General features: G+C 40.9%; 1 protein-coding gene across 4 annotated transcripts in view; it reads left to right on the top strand.

The window, feature by feature from the left end:
* AMFR (autocrine motility factor receptor) overlaps nt 1–21,676 on the top strand; it is a 64,094-nt gene that overhangs the window by 23,187 nt on the left and 19,231 nt on the right. For 3 of the 4 annotated variants that reach the window (NM_001144.6, NM_001323511.2, XM_005255890.5), the window contains exons 8-10: nt 516–626; nt 12,984–13,174; nt 16,337–16,440. In NM_001144.6, the coding sequence (NP_001135.3) occupies nt 516–626; nt 12,984–13,174; nt 16,337–16,440 (406 nt within the window). Of the gene's footprint in view, nt 1–515; nt 627–12,983; nt 13,175–13,505; nt 13,602–16,336; nt 16,441–21,676 lie in introns of all 4 variants that reach the window. The other variant, NM_001323512.2, reaches the window with a different exon arrangement.

The following is a 21,676-nucleotide window of genomic DNA, read 5'->3' as shown; positions in this document are numbered from 1 at the left end:
ATTATTATTATTATTATTATTATTTTGGAGATGGAGTCTCACTCACCCAGGCTGGAGTGCAGTGGCACAATCTCAGCTCACTGCAACCTCCGCCTCCCAGGTTGAAGTAAGTCTCCTGCCTCAGCCTCCTGAGTAGCTGGGATTGCAGGCGCCTGTCACCACGCCCGGCTAATTTTTGCATTTTTAGTAGAGACGGGGTTTCACCATGTTGGTTAGGCTGGTCTTGAACTCCTGACCTCATGATCCCCCTACCTCGGCCTCCGAAAGTGCTGGGATTACAGGTATAAGCCACCGCGCTCGGCCTAGCAACCATTATTTAGACAAAGTTCCTGTGCATAAGTTACTCACTTTTGAAAGGGCTTTGAAGGTAAATTATATTTTTGATTATCAAGAATGTTTTGCTGAACATGCTTTCTCTGTAACTGTGTTGTGATACAGGCGCAGTCTATCAAGTGGTGTTTAGTGTGCGTGTGGAACTGACTGAGGTTCCTGCTGGGCTTGTTTTGTTTCCACAGGTTTGCAGTTGCAACTCCAGAGGAGCTGGCTGTCAACAATGACGACTGTGCCATCTGTTGGGACTCCATGCAGGCTGCGCGGAAACTGCCCTGTGGACATCTTTTCCACAAGTAGGAGCTTTGTGAAGGGCCATGTGGGACAGGTGTTCTGTCCAGGGCGTGTGTGTGCTTTGTGTACCCAGGCTCGAGACTCATCCTAGTGGAGGAGTGGGGACATTACCTCAGCCTGGCCTTGCTGCTGGCACTGAGTGTTCTGGGAAGCTCTTGGGTATCCTTCTTTGTTCCTTAGCCTCTTCCCTACATCATAGGACTGTTTCCCACCCATAGTTTGCCATCTTAGTTTCTGGGTATGGTAGCTGTCTTCATATTTCTTCTCCATTTTAGCTCTGAAGTATAGCAAATATGCCTGTAAGATTTAAAAGAAAGGATTAGCGGGGAGTCCTTGCTTTCAGACAGCTTATTATCTAACTGGGAGAGAGAATATATAATTTTGCATTTTGTACATGCCCAAAAGAAGCCTTAAGAGCACACCAGAGAAGTGGATTGAGATGGGACTAGACCAGGACCGCTAAACAGCACAGAAGAGCTGTGTCTGTTATCGAGGATTACAAATAGTCTCTTCTGTAATCCTTCCAGATGGAAGTAGATCTGAGATGTCATTGGGGTTCTGTCTGTCTCACGTAAATGACTGTGTGTATAGGTTTGGTGTTTTGATGTTGATGGACCTTGAGGTATCTTTTGGCCTTTTGCATGTGTTTTCAATTTTGCATATTGGGAAAGTTCTGATCTTTGCATCTTTAATCTTCCTTTCTTTATTTTATAGTCTCAAAGAGATTTTCTTCTTTTTCATATGGGAGCTAGAGTCTCGGTAACTCAACACATATGTTGACAGATTTTTTTTTTTTTTTTTTTTTAATGTGCTGAGTGCTGTGTTAGGCTCTGGGGATAAAATGAAAATGACCACTGTGGTCATTGCTTTCCTGTAGCTTACAGTCGAATGGAGGAGTCAAAAGCGAATGAACCAGGCATATTTATGAATTTTAAAGTATCAATGAGATAAGTGCTTTAAAGCAAAGGAACATGGTTCTTGAGAGCTTGTAATGAAAAAATCCAACTCAAACTTGAAGGAAGTGACTCTTGAGGATAAGTAGGAGTTAAGTCAACAAAAAGGAGGGATCACGTGGTACTAGGTACTTGAGAGGGAGCATCTGTGCAGCAGGAAGAAATGGAAGAGACTAAAAGAGAAGCTGTGTGGCCGATCCCAGAGAGTAAAGGAGAGGGGTGTCTGCTGAGGCAGGAGACACATAGGCAGGGTCTGGAGGACCTTTGGGAGTGGTGAGATGCTATTGAATGTTAAGGACTGGCGGGTTAGATTTGCTGCTTGAAAAGATCCAGGGGGATTGGTTAGTAATGGCTGCAGCGGTTCAGGGGTAATCCCAGCACTTTGAGATGCTGAGGCAGGTGGATCACCCGAGGTCAGGAGTTCGAGACCAGCCTGACCAACAAGGTGAAACCCCACCTCTACTAAAAATACAAAAAAATTAGCTGGGCAAAGTGGCAGGTGCCTGTAATCCCAGGTACTTGGGAGGCTGAGGTAGGAGAATTGCTTCAACCTGGGAGGTGGAGGTTGCAGTGAGCTGAGATCGTGCCATTGTACTCCAGCCTGGGCAACAAGAACGAAACTCCATCTAAAAAACAAAAAAGTAGCTTGGACTCTGGTGGTAGAAGTAGAGTTAGTGAGAAGACAGATTTGAGGGATCAGGAAGGGTGTGATGCCAGACCGGCCGAGGGAAAGTGAGGAATGAAAGAGGTACCAGCGTTTCTCTAGTTATGCAGGTTGGGCAGTTGGGTGGAGAGTGGTGCTGTTTGTTGAGGTTGGGAAGACGGAATTTGCACACATTTCTCAAAATTAGTTAGCCCCTAAGGAGCTTGGAGGCTAGTTGGGAAGAATAACTCAGAATAACTCTATTTTAGCTCAGAAATAATATTTTCAAGCATATGGTTAGATTAATTTTAGGATTTAATTTCTTTGAGGCAAAATTCAGATAACATACATTTAACTATTTTAAAGTGTACAGTTCAGTTGCCGTTAATGTGTTCACAATGTTGTGCAACCACCCTTCTCGCTAGTTTCAAAACCTTTTTATCACTCCACAATAGTGCCCCATAGTCACTAAGTAAGTGCTCTCCATTCCTTCCTTCTCCATCACCTGGCAACCACTGATCCACTTTCTGTCTCTATGGATTAACCTATTCTGGACATTTCATATAAAGGAATCATATAACATGTGACTTTTTGTGACTGGCCTCTTTCACTTAGTATTTTTTGAGGTCACTCAAGTTGTAGCATGTATCAGTACTTTTTATGGGTGAATTTAAATAATTTTATAAATTAAACAATTAGTTTATCCATTCATCCATTGGTGGACATTTGGGTTGTTTCCACATTTTGACTATTGTGAATAATGCTGCTAGGAACATGAGCTTGTAAGAAGTATCTGTTTGAGGACTTGTTCTCACTTCTTTTGGGTATATGCCTAGGAGTGGAATTTCTGGATCATATGATAATTCTATGTTTAACTTTTGAGGAAACGCCAAAGTGGTGCAGCAGCTGTACCACTTGATATTCCCCCAACAATACCTGAGGGGTCTAGTTTCTTCATACTCTTGCCAACACTTGTCATTTTCTATTTTTGTTATTATAGCCATTCTCGTGGGTGTGAAGTGTTTTCTTATTATGGTGAATTTTGTTTTTTTTTTTAGTAATAATTCTTAAGTATATTTTTTTTATTCTGGTAAAATATAACATAAAATTTACCATTAGTCATTTTTAAGTATATGGTCTGGTGGCATGAAGTACAATCACATTGTTGTACAGCCTTCATCACCATCTATCTCCAGAACTTTTTTGTCTTATGAAACTGAAATTGTCTCCAGTATATAGCAAGTCCCTCTCTGCTCCTCCCAAAGCCCTTGGCAACCACCATTCTATTTTTTTGACTCTATGAATTACTCTAGATACCTCTGTTGGCTTTGGGTTTAGTTTGCTATTTTTCTGGTTCTATAGGCATAAAGTTAGGTTTTCGATTTGAGAGCTTTCTTCTTTTTAGGCATTTTCTGCTGCATATTGGCCTCTGAGCATTGCTTCCGCTGCATCTCATAAGTTTGGATATGTTGTGGTTTTGTTTTCATTTGTCTCAAAGTGTCTCATTTCCCAAGTGATTTTTTTTTTTAATATCTGTATATTTACAGGTAAACTATAGTTTATTTTTAAAATAAGAGCAAATTTCAGTTAAATTATCAAAGAAACATGTAGAGATCTATGTGTATAGGTGTATATATGTATATACACATATATCTCTACATTTCAAGGGATATATATATCTATATCCTTATATATGTAGAGATATATATATCCCTTGAAAATACATATCCCTTCAAAATATTCACTTCTCCAATATTGGAGTGCAGCATAGTGTATCATATAATGATATATTATATATATGATACATTTATATATATATAAATGATACATTTATATATATAAATGATACATTTACATATATAAATGATACAGTTACATATATAAATGATACAGTTACATATATAAATGATAGAGTTATATATATAAATGATAGAGTTATATATATAAATGATAGAGTTATATATATAAATGATAGAGTTATATATTATAAATGATAGAGTTATATATTATAAATGATACATTTATATATTATAAATGATACATTTATATATTATAAATGATACATTTATATATTATAAATGATACATTTATATATTATAAATGATACATTTATATATTATAAATGATACATTTATATATTATAAATGATACATTTATATATTATAAATGATACATTTATATATTATAAATGATACATTTATATATTATAAATGATACATTTATATATTATAAATGATACATTTATATATTATAAATGATACATTTATATATTATAAATGATACATTTATATATTATAAATGATACATTTATATATTATAAATGATACATTTATATATTATAAATGATACATTTATATATTATAAATGATACATTTATATATTATAAATGATACATTTATATATTATAAATGATACATTTATATATTATAAATGATTATATATAAAATATATGTATGTATTTATTATACTTTAAATTCTAGGGTACATGTGCACAATGTGCAGGTTTGTTACATATGTATACATGTGCCATGTTGGTGTGCTGCACCCATTAACTCGTCATTTACATTAGGTATATCTCCTAATGCTATCCCTCCCCACTCCCCCAACCCCACAACAGGTGCTGGTGTGTGATGTTCCCCTTCCTGTGTCCAGCTGTTCTCATTGTTCACTTCCCACCTATGAGTGAGAACATGTGGTGTGTGTCTTTTTGTCCTTGTGATAGTTTGCTGAGAATGATGGTTTCCAGCTTCATCCATGTCCCTACAAAGGACATGAACTCATCATTTTTTATGACTGCATGGTATTCCATGGTATATATGTGCCACATTTTCTTAATCCAGTCTGTCATTGTTGGACATGTGGGTTGGTTCCAAGTCTTTGCTATTGTGAGTAGTGCCACAATAAACATAACGTGTGCATGTGTCTTTATAGCAGCATGATTTATATTCCTTTGGGTATATACCCAGTAATGGGATGGCTGGGTCAAATGGTATTTCTAGTTCTAGATCCCTGAGGAATCGCCACATTGTCTTCCACAATGGTCAAACTAGTTTACAGTCCCACCAACAGTGTAAAAGTTTTCCTATTTCTCCACATCCTCTCCAGCACCTGTTGTTTCCTTTTTAATGATCGCCATTCTAACTGGTGTGAGATGATATCTCATTGTGGTTTTGATTGGCATTTCTCTGATGGTCAGCGATGATGACCATTTTTCATGTGTCTGTTGGCTGTTTCATGTGTCTTTTGAGAAGTGTCTGTTCATATCCTTTGCCCACTTTTTGATGGGGTTGTTTGTTTTTTTCTTGTAAATTAGTTTGAGTTCTTTGTAGATTCTGGATATTAGCCTTTTGTCAGATGAGTAGATTGCAAAAATTTTCTCCCATTCTGTAGGTTGCCTGTTCACTCTGACAGTAGTTTCTTTTGCTGTGCAGAAGCTCTTTAGTTTAATTAGATCCCATTTGTCAATTTTGGCTTTGGTTGCCATTGCTTTTGGTGTTTTACACATGAAGTCCTTGCCCATGCCTATGTCCTGAATGGTATTGCCTAGGTTTTCTTCTAGGGTTTTTATGGTTTTAGGTCTAACGTTTAAGTCTTTAATCCATCTTGAATTAATTTTTGTGTAAGGTGTAAGGAAGGGATCCAGTTTCAGTTTTCTACATATGGCTAGCCAGTTTTCCCAGCACCATTTATTAAATAGGAAATCCTTTCCCCATTTCTTGTTTTTGTCAGGTTTGTCAAAGATCAGATGGCTGTAGATGTGTGGTATTGTTTCTGAGGGCTCTGTTCTGTTCCATTGGTCTATATCTCTGTTTTGGTACCAGTACCATGCTGCTTTGGTTACTGTAGCCTTGTAGTATAGTTTGAAGTCAGGTAGCATGATGCCTCCAGCTTTGTTCTTTTGGCTTAGGATTGACTTGGCAATGCAGGCTCTCTTTTGGTTCCATATGAACTTTAAAGTAGTTTTTTCCAATTCTGTGAAGAAAATCATTGGTAGCTTGATGGGGATGGCACTGAGTCTATAAATTACCTTGGGCAGTATGGCCATTTTCACGATATTGATTCTTCCTATCCATGACCATGGAATGTTCTTCCATTTGCTTGTGTCCTCTTTTATTTTGTTGAGCATTAGTTTGTAGTTCTCCTTGAAGAGAGGTCCTTCACATCCCTTGTAAGTTGGATTCCTAGGTATTTTATTCTCTTTGAAGCAATTGTGAATGGGAGTTCACTCATGATTTGGCTCTCTATTTGTCTGTTATTGGTGTATAAGAATGTTTGTGATTTTTGCACATTGATTTTGTGTCCTGAGACTTTGCTGAAGTTGCATATCAGCTTAAGGAGATTTTGGGCTGAGACGATGGGGTTTTCTAAATATACAATCATGTCATCTGCAAACAGGGACAATTTGACTTCCTCTTTTCCTAATTGAATACCCTTTATTTCTTTCTCCTGCCTGATTGCCCTGGCCAGAAATTCCAACACTGTGTTGAATAGGAGTGGTGAGAGAGAGCATCCCTGTCTTGTGCCCGTTTTCAAAGGGAATGCTTCCAGTTTTTGCCTATTCAGTATGATGTTGGCTGTGGGTTTGTCATAAATAGCTCTTATTATTTTTAGATACTTCCCATGAATACCTAATTTATTGAGAGTTTTTAGAATGAAGGGCTGTTGAATTTTGTAGAAGGCCTTTTCTGCATCTATTGAGATAATCATGTGGTTTTTGTCTTTGGTTCTGTTTATATGCTGGATTACATTTATTGATTTGCGTATGTTGAACCAGCATTGCATCCCAGGAATGAAGCCAGCTTGATCATGGCGGATAAGGTTTTTGATGTGCTGCTGCATTTGGTTTGCCAGTATTTTATTGAGGATTTTTGCATCGATGTTCATCAGGGATATTGGTCTAAAATTCTCTTTTTTTGTTGTGTCTCTGCCCAGCTTTGGTATCAGGATGATGCTGGCCTCATAAAATGAGTTAGGGAGGATTCCCTCTTTTTCTATTGATTGGAATAGTTTCAGAAGGAATGGTACCAGCTCCTCCTTGTACCTCTGGTAGAATTCGGCTGTGAATCCGTCTGGTCTTGGACTTTTTTTGGTTGGTAAGCTATTAATTATTGCCTCAATTTCAGAGCCTGTTATTGGTCTATTCAGAGATTCAACTTCTTCCTGGTTTAGTCTTGGGAGGGTGTATGTGTCGAGGAATTTATCCATTTCTTCTAGATTTTCTAGTTTATTTGCATAGAGGTGTTTATAATATTCTCTGATGGTAGTTTGTATTTCTGTGGGATCGGTGGTGATATCCCCTTTATCATTTTTTACTGCATCTGTTTGATTCTTCTCTCTTTTCTTCTTTATTAGTCTTGCTAGCAGTCTATCAATTTTTTTTTTTTTTTTTGAGACGGAGTCTCGCTCTGTCGCCCAGGCCGGACTGCGGACTGCAGTGGCGCAATCTCGGCTCACTGCAAGCTCCGCTTCCCGGGTTCACGCCATTCTCCTGCCTCAGCCTCCCCAGTAGCTGGGACTACAGGCGCCCGCCACCGCGCCCGGCTAATTTTTTGTATTTTTAGTAGAGACGGGGTTTCACCTTGTTAGCCAGGATGGTCTCGATCTCCTGACCTCATGATCCACCTGCCTCGGCCTCCCAAAGTGCTGGGATTACAGGCGTGAGCCACTGCGCCCGGCCAGCAGTCTATCAATTTTGTTGATCTTTTGAAAAAACCAGCTCCTGGCTTCACTGATTTTTTTGAAGGGTTTTTTGTGTCTCTATCTCCTTCAGTTCTGCTCTGATCTTAGTTATTTCTTGCCTTCTGTTAGCTTTTGAATGTGTTTGCTCTTGCTTCTCTAGTTCTTTTAATTCTGATGTCAGGGTGTCAGTTTTAGATTTTTCCTGCTTTCTCTTGTGAGCATTTAGTGCTATAAATTTCCCTCTACACACTGCCTTAAATGTGTCCCAGAGATTCTGGTATGTTGGGTCTTTGTTCTCGTTGGTTTCAAAGAACATCTTTATTTCTGCCTTCATTTTGTTATGTACCCAGTAGTCATTCAGGAGCAGGTTGTTCAGTTTCCATGTAGTTGAGCGGTTTTGAGTGAGTTTCTTAATCGTGAGATCTAGTTTGATTGCACTGTGGTCTGAGAGACAGTTTGTTATGATTTCTGTTCTTTTACATTTGCTGAGAAGTGCTTTACTTCCAACTATGTGGTCAATTTTGGAATAGGTGTGGTGTGGTGGTGAGAAGAATGTATATTCTGTTGATTTGTGGTGGAGAGTTCTGTAGATGTCTATTAGGTCTGCTGGGTGCAGAGCTGAGTTCAATTCCTGGGTATCCTTGTTAACTTTCTGTCTCGTTGATCTGTCTAATGTTGACAGTGGGGTGTTAAAGTCTCCCATTATTATTGTATGGGAGTCTAAGTCTCTTTGTAGGTCTCTAAGGACTTGCTTTATGAATCTGGGTGCTCCTGTATTGGGTGCATATATATTTAGGATAGTTAGCTCTTCTTGTTGAATTGATCCCTTTACCATTATGTAATGGCCTTCTTTGTCTCTTTTGACCATTGTTGGTTTAAAGTCTGTTTTGTCAGAGACTAGGATTGCAATCTCTGCCTTTTTTTGTTTTCCATTTGCTTGGTAGATCTTCCTCCATCCCTTTATTTTGAGCCTATGTGTGTCACTGCACGTCAGATGGGTTTCCTGAATACAGCACACTGATGGGTCTTGACTATCCAATTTGCCAGTCTGTGTCTTTTAATTGGAGCATTTAGCCCATTTACATTTAAGGTTAATATTGTTATGTGTGAATTTGATCCTGTCATTATGACGTTAGCTGGTTATTTTGCTCGTTAGTTGATGCAATTTCTTCCTAGCCTCGATGGTCTTTACAATTTGGGATGTTTTTGCAGTGGCTGGTACCGGTTGTTCTTTTCCATGTGTAGTGCTTCCTTCAGGAGCTCTTAGGGCAGACCTGGTGGTGACAAAATCTCTCAGCATTTGCTTGTCTGTAAAGTATTTTATTTCTCCTTCACTTATGAAGCTTAGTTTGGCTGGATATGAAATTCTGGCTTGAAAATTCTTTTCTTTAAGAATGTTGAATATTGGCCCCCACTCTCTTCTGGCTTGTAGAGTGTCTGCTGAGAGATCAGCTGTTAGTCTGATGGGCTTCCCTTTGTGGGTAACCCGACCTTTCTCTCTTGCTGCCCTTAACATTTTTTCCTTCATTTCACCTTTGGTGAATCTGACAATTATGTGTCTTGGAGTTGCTCTTCTCGAGGAGTATCTTTGTGGCATTCTCTGTATTTCCTGAATCTGAATGTTGGCTTGCCTTCCTAGGTTGGGGAAGTCCTTCTGGATAATATCCTGCAGAGTGTCTTCCAACTTGATTCCATTCTCCCCGTCACTTTCAGGTACACCAATCAGACATAGATTTGGTCTTTCCATATAGTCCCATATTTCTTGGAGGCTTTGTTCACTTCTTTTTATTCCTTTTTCTCTAAACTTCTCTTCTTGCTTCATTTCATTCATTTGATCTTCAATCACTGATACCCTTTCTTCCAGTTGATGGAATTGGCTACTGAAGCTTGTGCATTCGTCACGTAGTTCTCGTGCCATGGTTTTCAGCTCCGTCAGGTCCTTTAAGGACTTCTCTGCATTGGTTATTCTAGTTAGCCATTCGTCTAATCTTTTTTCAAGGTTTTTAACTTCTTTGCGATGGGTTCAAACTTCCTCCTTTAGCTTGGAGAAGTTTGATTGTCTGAAGCCTTCTTCTCTCAACTTGTCAAAGTCATTCTCTGTCCAGCTTTGTTCTGTTGCTGGTGAGGAGCTGCATTCCTTTGGAGGAGGAGAGGCACTCTGATTTTTAGAATTTTCAGTTTTTCTGTTCTGGTTTTTCCCCATCTTTGTGGTTTTATCTACCTTTGGTCTTTGATGATGGTGACGTACAGATGGGGTTTTGGTGTGGATGTCCTTTCTGTTTGTTAGTTTTCCTCCTAACAGTCAGGACCCTCAGCTGCAGGTCTGTTGGAGTTTCCTGGAGGTCCACTTCAGACCCTGTTTGCCTGGGTATCAGCAGTGGAGGCTGCAGAACAGTGAATATTGCTGAACAGCAAATGTTGCTGTCTGATGGTTCCTCTGGAGGTTTTGTCTCAGAGGGGTACCCCGCCGTGTGAAGTGTCAGTCTGCCCTTACTGGGGGGTGCCTCGCAGTTAGGCTACTCGGGGGTCAGGGACCCACTTGAGGAGGCAGTCTGTCCATTCTCAGATCTCAAACTCCATGCTGGGAGAACGACTACTCTCTTCAAAGCTGTCGGACAGGGACATTTAAGTCTGCAGAGGTTTCTGCTGCCTTTTGTTCTGCTATGCCCTGCCCCCAGAGGTGGAGTCTATAGGCAGGCCTCCTTGAGGTGCGGTGGGCTCCACTCAGTTCGAGCTTCCCGGCTGCTTTGTTTACCTACTCAAGCCTCAGCAATGGTGGGCACCCCTCCCCCAGCCTCGCTGCCACCTTGCAGTTCAATCACACACTGCTGTGCTAGCAACGAGCGAGGCTCCGTGGGCATGGGACCCTCCGAGCCGTGGGCATGGGACCCTCCGAGCCACACGCAGGATATAATCTCCTGGTGTGCCATTTGCTAAGACCATTGGAAAAGCACAGTATTAGGGTGGGAGTGACCTGATTTTCCAGGTGCAGTCTGTCACAGCTTTGCTTGGCTATGAAGGGGAATTCCCTGACCCCTTGCGCTTCCCGGGTGAGGCGATGCCTTGCCCTGCTTCGGCTCATGCTCGGTGCGCTGCACCCACTGTCCGACAAGCCCCAGTGAGATGAACCTGGTACCTCAGTTGGAAATGCAGAAATCACCCATCTTCTGCGTCACTCATGCTGGGAGCTGTAGACTGGAGCTGTTCCTATTCGGCCATCTTGGAACCCATGATTTCTTCTTTACTCAGTGGTTGCTTAAGAGTTAGGATTTAATTTTAAAACACTTATCTGCCTCGGGTTGAGTGAACAAATAGTTGTTAGGATATGCTCTTGGTTTGCTTTGCTTTGTAACTTCCGGAATGATTGTGTGCTGAGAATCTAAGGCAAATTCATTTTAATTTGTGATAAAGGTAATGTCTATATTCCTGCAGGCACAATAGCTAGATAATTTGTTGCTGTAGAGGATATTTTTGCAACATTTCAGAGTCCAGTGAATAGATCTGTTTTCTCTCTAAAGTTTGATTTCTCTCAGTTAAGGAACTCTAGCATTTTTTTTTTTTTTTAAACAGAAAACTATATCTAACTAGTTGTACTCACCTTGGAGTTTTTAGGCTGTTATATTTTATGTGGGAGGATTTTGCACTCTGTGAAATAAATTTAGATTTGCTTATAAAAAGTATGTCACAGTGTAGCATTATTGGAAGGCAAGGATCTTACATATTTTTATAATCTCCCACAAGGCTAATTTTATTATACTAGTGGTGTGATTTAAAGGTGTCAGTAGGAGAATTGGACTTAAAAAAATCATTTATTTGACTAAATTATCACATACAAATTATAGGTATTTAATTATTGCAAAATATGAGAGTTGGGTATACACATACAGACAGATGACATTATTTTGGAACACGACTGTCACACACTCTTATGACACAGAGTGATTAAGAAGTAGCTCCATCTTGGCCTCTAGGAAACTCCTGTTACTTATGTACCATTTAGTTGCTGGAGACTCTGAGGATTATCATATTATGGTGAGGTTTTCCTTTATAACTTTATATCTACACATGTTCGTAGATATTTAAAAGAAGATACAGCATTTTTATTCAGTGCCTACTTGAGCCCTTAGAGAAAGATAACAAATTCTCATAAAATGGGAGGGACCTTGGAGATTAATTCATCCAGCCATTTCATTCTTTAGTGGAGAGGACTAGTCAATAGAGGTTGAAGGGTTTGCCTGGATCACACAGCTAGTTAGAGGGAGAATTGGGACTGATCTCACATTTTCTGCTTCTTACTCTAGTACCCTTTCCTTTCTTTAATGGACACCTCAAGTATTTATTGAATGTCTACCATAATTAAGGCATTATCATCTCCTGAGAGAGGGCAAAAGAAGCTTCGGCCTTGTTGGGAAAACAGCGTGCAAAGAGAAGAGGGTGGAGGACATTGAGGTGGTGAATGGAGAGGAGAGGTTAGAGGTGAGCCAGGGGAACAGGGAGGTAAGGACCTGTACGGCTGTCATGCTTGAGGAGAAAGCAGATGGGAGGTCTTAGTAAGTTTGGTGCCAGATAAGTGAGTTGGAAGGAGAGGAGCTTGAGTGAATGAGTGAGAATTTTGACATCAAGATTTTGAAGACAAGCCAAGGTGATGACTGTGCTGGTGGTAGCTAAAGCAGAGTGAAAGACATGAGCGTCAGAGTGGAGGACTCAAGGACATGAGAGGCCAGGGTGTTGGATGATTCAGCCACATGGATTTTGAAGTAGCCAAATGGAGTTGGATGAGAAGATGGTGAGCCATGCTAGGAAGCCCCATTGAAGAGGGGTCACAACGAGGAGCTTGGTAGATGACTTCATATGGTAAAGAATTCATGTTCCCAGCAGGACACACTGGAAGTGTATTAAAGTGAAGTAGGGCAAGTAGGTAAAGTCCATAAATGCTTCTCAACACTTAAATCTCACTAGTGGTAGAGAGAAAATCAAATTGGAGCACATTTGATATATCCAGAGTACTTCTGGGTGAATTCTCACAAAGTATGCTAAGGAACAATCAAGGATGCTGACGTATCTTCTTTTGGACTTTTTGGTAGCTCCTGTCTTCGTTCCTGGCTAGAACAAGACACCTCCTGTCCAACATGCAGAATGTCTCTTAATATTGCCGACAATAATCGTGTCAGGGAAGAACATCAAGGAGAGAACTTGGATGAGAATTTGGTTCCTGTAGCAGCAGCCGAAGGGAGACCTCGCTTAAACCAACACAATCACTTCTTCCATTTCGATGGTTAGTTGGTTTCAACCTCTGAAACTATACCTAAGGGGTGTTCTCCCTTAAGCAGATACTATTTTAGTTATAAATTGCCCTGTATAGACCAGTTTAATATTATACAGTCATGTGCCCCATAACGACATTTCACTCCATGGCAAACCATATATATGGCAGTGGTCCCATAAGATGATAATGGACCTAAAAAATTCCTGTAGTCTGGTATTTACTACAGTTTTTATCATTATTTTAAAGTGTACTCATACTTACATACAAAAAAAATTTACTGTAAAGCAGCCTCAGGCAGGTCCTTCAGGAGGTATTCCAAAATAAGGTATTGTTATTCTAGGAGATGACAGCTCCATGCGTGTTACTGCCCCTGAAGACGTTCCAGTGGGACAGGAGGTGGAGGTGGTCGACAGTGATACTGATGCTCCTGACCTGTGTAGGCTTAGGCTAATGCGTGTGTTTGTATCTTAGTTTTTAGCCAAAAAAATTTAAAAAGTAAAATTAAAACTTTTAGAAATAGAAAAACTCTTATAGAATAAAAAAGAAAATATTTTCGACAGCTGTACAGGGTGTTTGAATTTTAAGCTAAGTGTTACTACAAGAGTCAAAAAGTTAAAAAAATTAAGATTATGAAGTAAAAAACTTATAGTAAGCTAAATTTAATTTATTGAATATAGAAAGAAACATTTTGTCATGAATTTAGTGTAGCCTAAGTGTACAGTGTTTATAAAGTCTGCAGGAGTTCACAGTAATGTCCTAGGCCTTCACATTTCACCACTCACTGACTCACCCAGAGCAGCCTTAATCATGCAAGCTTCATTCCTGGTAAGTGCCCTATGCAGGTGTACTTTTTGTGTACCATATTTTTACTGTATGTTTTCTGTTAGATATGTTTAGATACACAAATACTTAGCACTGTGTTATAATTGCCTCTACAGCATTCAGTATAGTAACATGCTGTACAGGATTGTAGCCTAGAACAATAGACTATATCGTATAGCCTAGGTGTGTAGTAAGCTATACCATTTAGGTTTATGTAAATATACTCTATGATGTTCGCACAACAATGAAATCACCTAACAACACATTTCTCAGAATGTGTCCCTGTTGTTAAGCTACGCATTGACTGTATTTCAATTTTAATTGAAAGTGTTTAGGTGGGATGGATGGATGGATGGATAGAGATAGAACAAACAGAGGGGTTCCAGGCATTTTGCCTGATTCCATGTCAATATGGGCAGGGTGGGGCAGGAGGGTGGAGGAGTAAAACTGAATCAACCATGCCTTCAAGGAGCACACTTAATTAGCTCAATAGTTAACCTTTGCTAATAATATATTGCATTTGTGTAGCATTTAAGCATATAATGAAGGATCATTGAGAAGCCTTTCTGGTGAGTACCAGAAGCAGAATCAGAGCTGGAACCCTGTTGCTTTGTCCATAAAATATAAATGTTCTGCCTCCCGGCAGTGTTAAAAGGAGTTGTAATGAAAACCACACTTAAAATTCTAAGGCTATGACATATCAAGGTCTGGTTGATCATCCTTCCTTAATTCACATTAAGCTGCTGTTGATTTTCAACAGTCCAGTACTGCTAAATTCTGTGAGTTCATGTTTATAATTATTACTGTAACACAAGCATCCCTGGAATTTTGTTAGCAGTAGTGCTATTCGCATCCCTGATTTGAGTTTCAAGAATGGAGTACAGTGGGGATGGTGTCGTGTTGGTGAAATCCCTCAAAGAAGGGACTAGGGGGAGTAGAGTCATGTCTCCCAGAAGAGTAGGTGGGGCTACTTGGCTGGCTGGGCCCAGAATGCTAGAGGGGTTTAGAGGACCTGGTTTGGTGGCTGTGAATGAAGGGCTCTTCCAGGTAAAACTTCTGAAATATACTAGCAATATTAGAGATGAGACCTGGCTATGTAATCCATTATTTTGTGAATTATGACTACTAAAAATTTAGTCAAAATAGATAAAGTCAACTTTATTTCTCCCTAGTTAGTACATGAAATAAGTATCCATTTCTTAAATGGGTACGTTTTGTTTGTACCCATCTCAAGACCTTTGAGATAGCCATTCCACTTGATTTTTTTTTTTTTTTTGAGATGGAGTCTTGCCCTGTTGCCAGGCTGGAGTGCGGTGGCGTGATCTCAACTCAATGCAACCGCTGATTCCCTGGTTCAAGTGATTCTCCTGCCTCAGCCTCCCAAGTAGCTGGGATTACAGGCACGTGCCCCCATGCCTGGCTAATTTTTGTATTTTTAGTAGAGACAGGGTTTCACCATTTTGGCTAAGATGGTCTTGATCTCCTGACCTTGTGATCTGCCCGCCTTAGCCTCCCAAAGTGCTGGATTACAGGCGTGAGCCACTGCTCCTGGCCACACTTGATTTTCTGTTCCATGCATCAGTGTTTCTTTGTGAAGGAATGAAAAGCAGCCTTAAATGTGTAGCTTGATAATTGGGTTGTTTTACAGCCAATTCTTGGTGCTGTTGTATCTTAGGCTCCTGTTTTCTTCGGGAAATAACAGAAGCAGCAGACTTCTTGGTGCTGTTAGTCTACAAGCCTTTTTGTAGAATAGAACAATTTAAAAAGAATTTTGAATCAGAAAACCACGGCTTTTAAGATTAAAGAAAAAATACTTCCTAAAAGTAAATGTGAAAATGCCTCCAAGTGAGTAGTCATTTGTGTAGCTTGTGAAAGAGGAGCCAAAGCTCATGTGTTGTAGAAGCTTTAGAGCCTTGAAAAGCTTCCTCATCTCCCAGGCTGAGCGTGTGAGGGCGCTGGGCTGGGCTGCATCCAGCCCCCCTGGAAAGCAGGATTGCTCAGCAGTGAAGGGTTCTAGAGCTTGCCTGTCTGGCTTCACATCTTGGCCATCATAGTTAAACTGTGTGATCTTGGACAAGTCCCCTAACTTCTAAGTGCCTCAGAGACCAAAGACCAAGGGTACTAGTGCTATATCTTTGAGAAGGATACTATAAGAATGATAATAGGAGGTACCATGTGGAGTGTAGTGAGGATTAAATGAGCTAGTCCACGTGAAACACTTGGCATGAGAAGCCTGCCATACAAGAAGCCCTCAGTGAACACCAGCCATTACAGTGGCTACCGTGAGAGCAGATGACGGGGGAAAGAGTCAGGGCTCTGAAACTTACACTGGATTCTTGTTTGTTTCAGGGTCTCGGATTGCGAGCTGGCTGCCGAGTTTTTCGGTTGAAGTGATGCACACCACCAACATTCTTGGCATTACGCAGGCCAGCAACTCCCAGCTCAATGCAATGGTAAGGTCTGCTAGCTGCTTTAAGAAGATCACTGGGAATTAGGAGGGAAAGAACAGCTAGAGCGTGTGTGCCGGGTATATGACCTTGTTGGTCTTACTCTGCTCTGGCAGAGTGGAAGGATTTTTAGGGGCTTCTTTTTATTTACTGGGACCATTTACATTCCTGTGTTTTAAATTTTGAAACGTTCATTTTATTTCTGTGGCGGATAATCTAACCTTTTCTGAACACTACTAGGTTCACTCTGTTGTGATCTAGGCCTACCTTGGGACTCCTTCGATTTTAGCCAAAAAAAAAAAAAATTTTTTTTTCTGGAGGCAGGGTCTTCCTTCATTGCCCAGGCTTAGAGTGCAGTGGTGCGATCTTGGCTCACTGCACCTTCTACCTCCTGAGTTCAAGCAATTCTCTTACCTCAGCCTCCTGAGTAGCTGGGATTATAGGCGTGGACCACCATGCCTGGCTAATTTTTGTAGAGACGAGGTTTCACCATGTTGGCCAGTCTGGTCTCGAACTCCTGGCCTTAGTGATCCATCCGCCTTGGCCTCCCAAAGTGCTTGGATTACAGGCGTGAGCCACTGCGTACAGCCTTTAGCCAAAATATGTTGGGGAATTATCGGCTGGAGTGAATGATGTGCCTTTTATTAAAAATTTTATGAGGCTGGGCACAGTGGCTCACTCCTGTAATCCTAGAGCTTTGTGAGGCCGAGGCAGGCAGATGGCTTGATTGCCCAGGAGTTTGAGGCTGCAGTGAGCTGTGCTCACACCATTGCACTACAGCCTGGGTGACAGAGTGAGACCCCATCTCTAAAAAAAGCAAAGAGACTGGGCATGGTGGCTCATGCCTGTAATCCCAGCACTTTGGGAGGCTGAGGCAGGTGGATCATCTGAGGTCAAGAGTTCGAGACCAGCCTGGCCCATATAGTGAAACCCTGTCTCTACTAAAAATACAAAAATTTGCTGGGCATGTTGGCATGCACCTGTAATCCCAGCTACTTGGGAGGCTGAGGCAGGAGAATTGCTTGAACCTGGGAGGTGGAGGTTGCAGTGAGCCGAGATTAGGCCATTACACTCCAGTCTGAGCAACAAGAGTGAAACTCTGTCTCAAAAAAAAAAAAAATTGCATGAGGCTCACCAAATGTGTGTTTTTGTTCCCCATCTTTTCCTCCCTCACCTCCAAAAATTGAGTGTGTGTGTGTGTGTGTGTGTGTGTGTGTGTGTATGTATGCATGTGTGTATATGCCTTGAAATGTTGAGGCGTGCTGTTGGCTCAAGGATATTGTTTGAATACTTCAAGTTTCTTTGTATTTTTCCAAAGGAATGTGTTATTTTACAATGATGGAGAAACGTGTTTCACCATTGTTGAAATCCAGTGCAAACCACCTTAGTCCTGCTTGGATTAGGGCCTCTGGCTGACCTGGATAAGCCCAGCCAGTGCTTTGGAAGGTCATTGGTTCATTCGTTAATTAGTTAATCTTTATTGATTGATTGAACAAATTTGAACTGAGAACCTGTTCCTGAGACAGGCACTGTAGTGAGCATAGCACCTGCAATGTCATTAAGGTAGACACAAGTCTTACTCTCAAGTAGGGTAGATACTAACTGGGGAGACAGGTCATAAATATAAATAAGGTGACTGCTGATGGTGATGAGTGCTCTGGCAGCAGTAAGGTAGGCAGTGTGGTGGAGTGGGTGGGTAGAGGCCAGAGGAAACATTTTAGAGGAGGCATTTGGAGATGTTCTCTCTGAGGGGTAATATGTAAGCTAAAACATGAAGGATGAGATGGAGCTGGATCAGGGGGAAGGAGGCCGTGGAAACAGTAGGTGCAAAGGCTATGAGGTGAGAAAGTTCTAGGAACTGAGAAAGGTCATTATGGTTGGGGCCTGGCAAGTAGGGGAACAACACTGTGATAGGAATTGAGATTTCAGAGCCAGAACATGCAGGGTCTTATAGGCCACAGGCAAATTTAGATCTTGTAAAAGTATTAGAAGGCCATTCAGAGCTTCTTACAGACCCCCACCACCACCACCAGGGGACTGACAGGATATTTAACAGAATGATTTTGCTTCTGGGAGAAGGATGAATTATAGAGGGTCAGAAATGGAAGCAGCAGGACCAGCAGTTAGGATGTTGCTGCAGTAGTCAAGGGAAATTCACATGGGGGCTTGGACAGGGGTATTTGTAATAAAGGTGAAAATAAGTGGCAGGTTTAGGACACTTTTGTAAGATGAGCTGGCAGGACTTGGTGCTTTGGTTGGATATGGGGGATGAGAGAAGTGGCTGAATGGAAGCTGCCTTGCTGAGTTTGAATTAAGCAGCTGAGTTGACAGTGGTACCACGTACTGAGATGCGAAGACTCGGGAGGAACAGGCATGAGGATGGGTCGCGGTGTTCTATTTGGGTAAGTCTGGGTTGCTCTGTGGGCAGTTCTGGACCTCAGTGAGGAGATCAAGTGAGAGATGCACATTTGGGAGATTGACGCCTGGAGGTGACATCTAAAGCAGGGGGTCAAAGAGAAGAGGGCTGACATCTGAGCTCTAGGTTCTGCCATGTTCAGAGGTCTGGCAGAGAGGGAGGAGCCATGACAGCCGGTGGAGAGGGAAGAGACCAGGAGAAGGTGGCAGCACAGCACAGAGGAGTTGGGTTTCCAGGAGGGAAGAGTCAAGCGTGTGGAATTCTTACAAGATGAGCTCATAGAAGTGCATGTTGGATTTGGCAGAGTGGGAGTGATTGATTAGCTGGAAAAGAACCAGCATTTTCCATTGCCCGAGGGGTTGGACAGTAGATTATGGTAGATTGAAATGAGTGGGAGCTGAAGAAATAGACCATACCAGGAAGTATGTTATGAAGAAGGACACAGAGCAGTAGAGGTGGTAGCTTGATAGGGTGTAGCATCCAGGGAAGTGTTTTCGTTTGTTTAAGGTTTTTGAATAGGTCATTTATTTACAAGTTTCAGAACCTAGAGAGGAGTATACAGTGAAGTCATGCTCCCTTCCTTTTCCCATGTGCCCAGCTCCCACGCCCCCTTAACAGCCTGGGTTAGTTTCTTATGTATTATGTTGCTCCAGAAGGCTTATAGGCACATACAAGCCAATGCTACTCTTTTTCAGACAGAAAAAAATAAGAAAGTGAATTTTTTTTTCGATTTTTCTATTTTAGTAAAATACGTTATATCTACTGTTTTAATATTTTTCAGATGTGCATTTCAGTGGTGTATTCACATTGTGCAACTATCACCACTGTCCATCTACAGAACTCTTTTCATCTTGCACAATCGAAACTTTGTACCAAGCCTGTCCAACCTGCAGGCTGCATGTGGCCCAGGACAGCTTTGAATGCAGCCCAACACAAATTTGTAAACTTTCTTAAAACTATGAGATTTTTTTGCCTTTTTTTTTTTTTTTTTTTTTTTTTAGCTCATCAGCTATCGTTAGTGTTAGTATTTTTATGTGTGGCTCAAGACAATTCTTCTTCCAGTGTGGCCCAGGGAAGCCAAAATATTGGATACCCTTGCTCTATACCCATTAAACAATTAACTACTAATTCTCCCCTCCCTCTAGCCTTTGGCAACCATTATGCTACTTGCTTTCTCTATGAGTTTAACTACGTAGGTACCTCATATAAGTAGAATTCTACAATATTTGTCATTTTGTGACTGGCTTATTTCACTTAGCATAATGTCATCATGGTTCATCCACGTTGTAGCACAAGTCAGAATTTTCTTCCTTTTTAAGGCTGAGTAATATTTCATTGTATGCATATACCACATTTTATTTATCTATTAATCTGTCGTTGGACACTCACATTGCTTCCACATTTTAGCTATCGTGAATAATGCTACTGTGAACATGAGTAGGCATATATTTCTTTGAGACCCTGCTTCTAATTCTTTTGAATACTCATGAGTCTTTTTTGTTTGTTTTTAAGACTAATTTTTTAGAGCAGTTTTAGGCTTACAGCAAAATTAAGAAGAAGGTACAGAGATTTTCTGTATGCCTCCTGTGCCCACACACACACAGCCTTCCCCATTATCAACATCCCTCAGCAGAGGGTATGTTTGATAGAGTTGATAAACCTGTGTTGGCACATCATAATCACCCAAAGTCCATAATTTACATTTGTGTTCCCTCTATAGGATTGGACAAATATATAGTGACACGTATCCACATGATACAGTCTTTTCACTGCCCTAAAGATTCTGTATGCACTCTGCCTTTCCTTTCCTCCCCCTAGCCTCTAGCAACCACTGATCTTTTTACTATCTTCATAGCTTTGCCTATTCCAGAATGTCATACAGGTGGAATCCTGCAGTATGTAGCCTTTTTAGATGGCTTCTTTCACTTAATTATTTGCATGTATGTTTCCTTTATATCTTTAAGGGATTGATAGCTCATTTCTTGTTAGCACCAAATAATATTCCATTGTCTGGATATACCACAATTTGTTAATTCGTTCACCTACTTAAGGACATCTTGGTTGCTTCCAGGTTTTGGCAGTTATGAATAAAGCTGCTATAAACATTTATGTGCAGGTTTTTATGTAGACGTAAGTTCATAACTTCCTTGGTTAAATGCTGATATGGTTTGACTGTGTCCCCACCCACATTTCCTCTTGAGTTCCCACGTGTTGTGGGAGGTACCCAGTGGGAGGTAGTTGAATCATGGGGGCAGGTCTTTCCCATGCTGTTCTTGTGATAGTGAATAAGTCTCACAAGATCTGATGGTTTTATAAAGAGGATTTCCCTGCACAAGCTCTCTCTCTTTGCCTGCTGCCATCCATGTAAGATATGGCTTGCTCCTCCTTGCCTTCCACCATGATTATGAGGCCTCCCCAGCCATGTGGAACTGTAAGTCCATTAAACCTCTTTCTTTTGTAAATCATCCAGTCTTGGGTATGTCTTTATTAGCAGCATGAAAATGGACTAATACAGTAAATTGGTACCAGGAGTGGGGTGCTGCTGTAGATACCTGAAAATGTGGAAGTGACTTTGAAACTAGCTAACAGGGGTTGGGACAGTTTGGAGGGCTCAGGAGAAGACAGGAAAATGTGGGAAAGTTTGGAACTCCCTAGAGACTTGTTGAATGGCTTTAACCAAAATACTGATAATGATATGGACAATGAAATCAAGGCTGAGGTGGTCTCAAATGGAGATGAGGAACTTGTTGGGAACTGGAGCAAGGGTGACTCTTGTCATGTTTTAGCAAAGAGAATGGCAGCATGTTGCCCCTGCCTTAAGAGATT

The sequence above is a fragment of the Homo sapiens genome, chromosome 16 (genome assembly GCF_000001405.40).
Source record: "Homo sapiens chromosome 16, GRCh38.p14 Primary Assembly".
Taxonomy (NCBI): Eukaryota; Metazoa; Chordata; class Mammalia; order Primates; family Hominidae; genus Homo; species Homo sapiens.
The sequence above is the reverse complement of the archived record's forward strand: the minus strand, read 5'-3'. Positions and strand labels throughout refer to the sequence as shown.